This window comes from Homo sapiens, chromosome 7 (assembly GCF_000001405.40).
Source record: "Homo sapiens chromosome 7, GRCh38.p14 Primary Assembly".
Classification (NCBI taxonomy): domain Eukaryota; kingdom Metazoa; phylum Chordata; class Mammalia; order Primates; family Hominidae; genus Homo; species Homo sapiens.
Window position 1 is genome coordinate 134,462,893 of NC_000007.14, and position 7,690 is coordinate 134,470,582.

Consider the following 7,690-nt stretch of genomic DNA (forward strand, 5'->3'; position numbering starts at 1 on the left):
TCTGGGAATCCATATAGCTGTATCACTCCGGATTAGGAGCACAGGGTGTGTACACACCCTTCCCTTAGTGAGCCAAGCTGCTGCAGCATGGCGCCATCTTGAGATTAGAGCCATTTCTGGACTGTGCCTTGCTCTGGGGGCCGTAGCCATTGCACTTCTCCAGCACTGGGGCTCCATCTTCATTCCACCAAGCCCACATGTGGGCCAACTGCACAAAGACTGGGCCCAGGATTGGCTATGACTCTGGTCCTGCACCACAGTGAAACCAACCCCTGTCATCTGCAATACAGCTGGAGGAACAGTCTGACAGTCTCACCCAGGGTGAACCTTCCTTTAAGCCAGCCAAATGGCTGTGTGTCCTCCCTCAAGCAGGAGAGGTCCCTAGCCCATCAAACAGCTGACATGCCTGCCCCCAGGCCAGCAGAGTGGCCATATGCAGATGTACAGGGCCTGAAAAACAGGCCTGTAGCACCTACTCCCTCCATGAACACACCCTTGGATTGCCTCGCATTCACAACCAGGGCTTGGAGAAACTTGAGAAGCTGACTGAGTAGCTGTGTGAAGCCCATAGGTGGCTGAATCCCACAACTCCAGCTGCATGGATTCTGGGCCCAGAATTGCCTGTGACTCTGGTCCTGCACAGCAGTGAAACCAACCTACACTGTCTGGTTTTACAGTTGGAGGAAGACTCTGGAAGTCTTGTCTGAGGAGAGCCTACCCTTAAGCCAGCTAAACTGCTGCACACCCTCTCCCAAGTGAGAGAGGTCCTTGATCCACCTAACAGCTGACATGCCACTGGGCCCACAGAGCAGCTGTGTGCCCATGCCCAGGGCCTAAGACACAGTAGCAGCATGGGACCACACCCCTACCATGGACATGCTGCTGACCTGCCCAAAGGACCTGCATGTGCAGTCAACGCTTGAGAAACAGCCCTGTTGGCCACCCCCAGCAGACATGCACCCAGGCCAGCCAAGAAGGTGTGTGGCTGCATCCCATACCTGAGAAATGGCCTTGTGGATTGCCCTGGCAAACACACTTCCAGGCAGCCAAGCAGCCATGCACTCATATCTTGGGCCTGGGAGATAGCCCCATAGGCAATCCTTAGAAGGCAAGCAGGCGGGCCATCAAAGCAGCCACACACCTGACCCCCAGGCTTGGGAAACAGCCCCATGGCACTAAATCACAGAGAGCCAGACCCAAAGTTGGCCAACCCAATGTGGCCACACATGCACTCAGACATGAGAAAGGCCTGGCAAGACCACCATGGCAAAGCTGCACTGCCACTGCCACAAAATCTCTCAGCCTAGGACACCGAGATACTCATAAACATTGCAAGGATAGATTATAGTTGAAGAAACTATGCAGATGCTACACTACTGCATGCACCTAGAAACAAAGCCAACGCACTGCCCTGAAGCTACTCCCCAAGACCGATCTATGAGAATAAGTCTTTCCATATAAAACCTACTCCATGAAATTGGAAGGAGTGACTGTTCCACCAGATGTGTAGAAATCAGTGTAGGGACACATCAAACAAGAAGAAGCAAGGAAACATAATACTTCCAAAGGAACACAGTAATTCTCCAGTAACAAATTGCAATAATAAGGAAATACTCAAAATGCCAGGAAAAGAATTCAAAATAATAATCTTAAAGAAACTCAATGAAATAAAAAAGAATAAAGATAGAAAACTCAACAAAATTAGGAAAACAATTCATGATTTGAATAAGAAATTCAACAATGATAAGAACCAAACAGAAATCCTAGAGCTAAAGAATTCAATGAATAAAATAAAAATACAACTGAGAGCTTCAATGACAGATGAGATCAAGCAGAAGAAAGAATTTCTGAACTTAAAAGATAGGTCATTTGAAATAAAACAAGCAAACCAACAAAAAAGATAAAAAGAAAAAAGGAGGCATACAGGAGTTATGAAGCACCATTAAGCAAACAAATATTTGCATTATGGTATTACAGAAGGAGAGTATAAAGGAAATGATATAGAAAACTTATTTAATGAAATAAGTCCAGGCACAGTGGCTCGTGCCTGTAATCCCAGCACTTTGGGAGGCCAAGGCAGGTAGATTTCTTGAGGTCAGGAGTTTGAGACCAGCCTGGCCAACATAGTGAAACCCTGTCTCTACTAAAAATACAAAAATTAACCGGGCATGATGGTGGGCACCCGTAATCCCAGCTACTTGGGAGGCTGAGGCAGGAGAATCACTTGAACCTGGGAAGTAGAGGTTGCAATGAGCTGAGATCATGCTACTGCACTTGCCTGGGCAACAGAGTGAAACTCCATCTCAAAAAAAAAAAGCATATTTAATAAAATAATACCTGAAAACTTCCCAAATGTTGGGAGAGAGACTGATATCCTGATTCAGAAAGCTCAAAGAATCACAAATAGAGTCAACCCAAACAGGTTGATATGCCTCTTCTGAGGCATATTATAGTCAAATTGTCAAAAGGCAAAGGCAAAGAAATAATTCTAAAAACAGCAAGAGAAAAGCATCAAATGACTTATAACACAATCCCCACTAGACTAACAGTGGATTTCTCAGCAGAAATTTACAGGCCAGGAGAAAAAGAGGTGATATATTCAAAATACTGAAAGAAAAAACGACCACTCAAAAATATTATACCCAGCAAATCCGTATTTTGGAAATGAAGAAGAAATAAAATCTTTCACAGGCAAGCAAAAATTAACGGAATTCATCACCACTAGACCAGCCTTGCAAAAATGCTCAAGGGAGTCATACATCTAGAGGTGAAAAGACCCTAATCACCATCGTGAAAACACGTAAAACTATAAAACTCATTGGTAGGGCCAATACACAAAGGAAAAAGGGAAGTCAAACCTATCTCTACATAAAACCACGCAACCACAAAAATAAATAATAAGGGAGGAAATAAAGAACAAAGGACATACAAAACAACCAGAAAATGATTAATAATGACAGGAGTAAGTCCTCAACTATCAATAATAACCTTGAATGTAAATGGATTAAATTTCTCATTTAAGAGATATAGACTAGCTGAGTTAATTAAAAGAAAGAGGACACAACTATATGCTTCCTACAAGAAACTCTTTTAACCTGCAAAGATGCACATAGAAAGTGATTGAAAAAGATACTCTACTCAAAAGGAAACAAAAAAATGAGCAGGAGTAGATATATCAGACAAAACAGAATTCAAATAAAAAGCTAAAAAGAAAAATAGATATTATGTAATAATAAAGGAATCAATTTAGCAAAAGAATATAACAATTGAAATGTATGTGCACCTAACACTGAAACACCTAGATACATAAAGCAAACATTATTAGATTGAAAGGTAGAGATATACTCCAATAGAGTGATAGCTGAGGATTTCCAAACTCCACTCTTGGTATTGGACAGATTCATCTAGACAGAAAAACAATTAAGCAACATCAAATTTAAATCGCACTATAGACTCAGTAGACCTAACAAATATTTACAGAATATTTTACCCAACAGTTGCAGAATACACATTACTTTTGTCAGGACATGGAACATTCTCCAGTATTGACCATATGTTAGGACACAAAATAAGATTCTAAAAATTTTTGAAGGCCAGGTGCAGTGCTTCAGGCCTGTCATCCCATCACTTTGGGAGGCTAAGGCAGGAGGATTGCTTGAGCCCAGGAGTTCAAGACCAGCCTAGGCAAAATAGTAAGATCCTGTCTCTACCAAAAAGAAAAAAAATTAGCTGGGGCTGATGGCACATTCTTGTGGTCCCAGCTACTCAGGAGGCTGAGGTAGGAGGATCACTTGAGCCCAGGAGTTCAAGGCTGCAGTGAACTATGATTGCATCACTGTACTCCAACCAGCCTGGGTGACAGAATGAGACCCCGTTACTATAAAACAAACAAACATATAAATAAATAAATAAAACTGAAATTATATCAACTTTCTTCTCTGACCACAATGGAATAAAACTAGAAATCAATAACAAGCCCGAGGCCAGGTACCCAGGCAAGAATGGCAAGTAGACTTCACTCACATGCTGCCCAAAAAATGGCTCTGCTATCTTCTAGTCTTTGTCTGTACTTTCTCCGGGTGGGTAGAAGCATTCCCGACAACTTCAGAAGGTGCAAATATCATCACACAAACCCTCATCATGCATATAATTCCCTGTTTCAGACTCCCAACATCCATCCAGTCCAATAACAGGCCCACCTTCATCAGTCAAATCACCCAAGGCATCTCTACATCCTTAGGTATAAAATGGGTTCTCCACACACCCTACAGGCCTCAATCTTCAGGCAAAATTGAAAAAGTTAACTCTGTCCTTAAAGCCCAACTCACCAAGCCGGCTCTAGAAACCTGCCAGTCATGTACAAAAAACCTCCTTTTCACCCTCATGAGACTCCACGCAACACAAAAGGCATCCTCTTTTTATAGTCCCTTTGAAATCGTGTGTGGCTGAACTTTTGTCTTGGAGCCTCCACCCTTTCCAGACTCTGAGCCACTCAGGAATTACCTCTTCTCCTTAATCTAGACACTGGATTTTCATTCATGAAGCAGCAAATGAGACCATGCCTCTCCCTGTCGACACCTCCTTGTCTTCTCAACATAACTGTCTTGCAGGCACAGACGTGTTTATCTGCCAACCTGACCCTCGCAAAAAGCTACAACTGAAGTGGACAGGCTCCTACACTGTGGTACTCAGCACGCCAACTGCAATGAGAGTACAAGGGCTCCCCCGCGGGATCCATCGCACCAGGTCAAGCTCACCCCCAAGGCTATTTCTTCCTCTAAAACATTAACAGCTAAGTGGTCCTCCAGGCCAATTTCTCCTACCAAGCTTAAATTAACCCAAAAATTGTTCTTAAAGCCAAAAACCCCCTAGAAAGCCTAAACGCGAGGAAGACTAATCACCTGCTTCCAGAGATGGCCTGTATCTACCCAACCGCTTGCTGTGCCTCACTTCCAACCAAAGGTCTTAATTCCTATATCCCTCACCACAATCCTAATACTGTCAGTAGCCACCCTGCTGTCCACAGCAGCCCCTCCAAGCTGCTGTGATGTGAGTGTTATCTGTCTTTCCACTACGGAGGAAAAATGCAACAATCCTTTACTTACCATAATAATATAGAAAATCCTGTTATGGAACGTTAGTCAAGGAATGTGTTGAATCAGGGAAAAGTTATTATAAAGTGAAAAATCTAGGAGTATCTGGCAGGTATAACGGGGCTATATGTGCAAAAGGTAAGCAGTGGCTTTGCTTCACCAAAATTGGACAATGGAGAGTAAACACTGAAGTGCTAGAGGACATAAAGAGAGAACAGATTGTAGCCAAAGCAAAGGCCAAAATCAACAACTCCCCCCCCAAAAAAAACACCCATGGTATTTCCACCTCTTTATACAAAACTACAAGCAGGCCTATCCCTTCCCAAGCCAGGAAAGAAACCTGCTTGTAGATCTAGGAGAACGCATCGTGCTTACCATGAATGTGTGCAATTGTTGGGTATGCGGGGGAGCTCGTGTGAGTGAACAGTGGCCGTGGTATGGGATAGACACTCTCCCTTACTTACTAGCATCCCAAAACTCCAGCCTCACTTTCACTCCTCAGGAACACCTGCAGTCCTGGACACTTACCAACCCGGTAAGAGGGACGGTGTGCATATCCCGCAAGTGGGCTAATAAAACCCATCGTGCCATAGGTAAAAGTCCCTGTCACCAAACCCTAACAGTCAACACCTCCGCAGCAGAGTGGTGGCAAAGGTTACTCCACAGAGCCTGGTCTCCTTCTAAATTAAGCTACCTCAATCATGTCTCGTCAAAAAGGGGCTGGAACTGTACAAACACCACTAACCCTTATGCCACATACCCCCACCTAAGTGCACAATGGAACAATCCTATGAACACCAGCCTACAATGGATTGCCCCTGATGGATTCCTTTGGATATGTGGAACCCAGGCTTACTTGTGGCCACCTTATCACTGGCAAGGTACTTTCTTCCTAGGAACAATTAAACCTGGATTCTTTTGACTTCCAAAGCAGGTGGGCAACACCCTCGAAGTCCCTGTGTATGATAACCTAAACAAAGAAAAACGATCCTTGAAGGTAGGATGAAGCCAAAGATGGCAAGAGGATGAGGCGCCTCCACAACGGATCATCGAATATTATGGTCCGGCCACTTGGGCTGAGAATGGTTCATCGGGTGATCGCACTCCCATATATTTGCTAAATAGAATAATTAGACTACAGGCTGTTCTAGAAATAAACACTAACCAAACCTCCTCAGCCCTGGAAATGGTCGTGCAACAACAAAATCAAATGCGCGTGGCAATTTATCAAAACAGGCTAGCACTAGACTACTTGTTAGCAGAAGAAGGTGGGGTCTGTGGTAAGTTTAGTATCTCCAATTGTTGTCTTAACATAGACAATAATAGAAAAGCATTTCTAGAAATCGCTTCAAACATAAGAAAAGTAGCCCATGTACAGTCCAAACCTGGAAGGGATGGGAACCAGCAAACCTAGGAGGGTGGTTCTCTAATTTAGGAGGATTTAAAACGCTGGTAGGGACAGTAGTCTTCACCACTGGGTTCCTTCTGTTTCTCCCCCGTATTATCCCACTGATAATAAAAGCCATTAAAAGTCTTGTTGAAACTACAGTTAACCACCAGACAATCCTGCTACGACGACACAATGGATACCAACCCGTCTCTCAGGAATACCCCCAAAATTAAGTTTTTCTTTTTTCCGAGGTGCCCACACCACCCTCTATGTCACGCCTGAAGTAGTTATTTAAAAAGTAATCCCTTTTCCCTTTTTCTATAACCAAATAGACAGGAATGAAAGACTTTCCCCCGGTCCTGAAAGCTTGGGGGAATGAATAACTCCTCCCTTTTCAGGTCCAGTGCCAAGGCACAAGGTCACCTGCACCAGCAGTGTGCGTCAGCAAGATAGCCGAAGCAGGAAGAGAGCTGGCCAGAAGACACGTACCTCTTGAAGACCAAGAAAGAGAGGCCGTGGGGGTACCACGTAGCAGTTACATCAGACTGGGACACTTCCTGTTTATAGGAGACTATAAAACCTCTGCCCCATCCTCATTTGGGGCTGACATCATTTTAGGCCTCAGCCCATCTGCACCCAGGCGCTCATTAAAACAGCGTGTTGCTCCACACTGCCTTGTGTTGTTTGTCCGCGAGCTCTCGGGGTTCCAACCAATATTAGAACCTTGCACTTTCTGGCCTCCAGCTCCTGTTTTCCTCTTTGATGGCCAGATCCATGCCTTTCATGAAGCATTCTAATATTGGGAGCAACTTTTGGAAACTACTAGGGCCATGGCTACCTTTGAGATGGCGAAAAATTACTTTGCTAAGCAAACCTCCTAGAAGAAAAGATTTCTGTGCACAGGTGAGGAGCCTGTGGTATTAGCAAGTTTGGTATCTTTACGGAAGAGGTGCATTCATTCAATTATTCAGTAACTTCATTCATTCATCCCACAAGCATTCACTATTTAATATCAACAGGAACTATTTTTGGCCCCAGGATTACAGAGATGAAGAGAATAAAAGTCTCGAGGCCGGGCACAGTGGCTCACACCTGTAATCCCAGCACTTTGGGAGGCCGAGGCAGGCAGACTGCAAGGTCAGGAGTTCAAGACCAGCTTGGCCAATATGGTGAAACCCCCATCTCTACTAAAAATATAAAAAATTAC

At 44.1% G+C, this 7,690-nt stretch overlaps 1 pseudogene, besides 1 other annotated feature; it reads left to right on the top strand.

The window, feature by feature from the left end:
- Nucleotides 273-773: an enhancer, noted in NCBI's record as "H3K27ac hESC enhancer chr7:134147917-134148417 (GRCh37/hg19 assembly coordinates)". NCBI's record gives its function as "activates a minimal SCP1, AML or CMV promoter by ChIP-STARR-seq in naive H9 embryonic stem cells {active_cell/tissue: H9 hESC(naive)}" and the evidence as "EXISTENCE:reporter gene assay evidence [ECO:0000049][PMID:30033119]".
- Nucleotides 5,431-6,485, top strand: LOC100887077 (endogenous retrovirus group 48 member 1, envelope pseudogene; annotated as a pseudogene).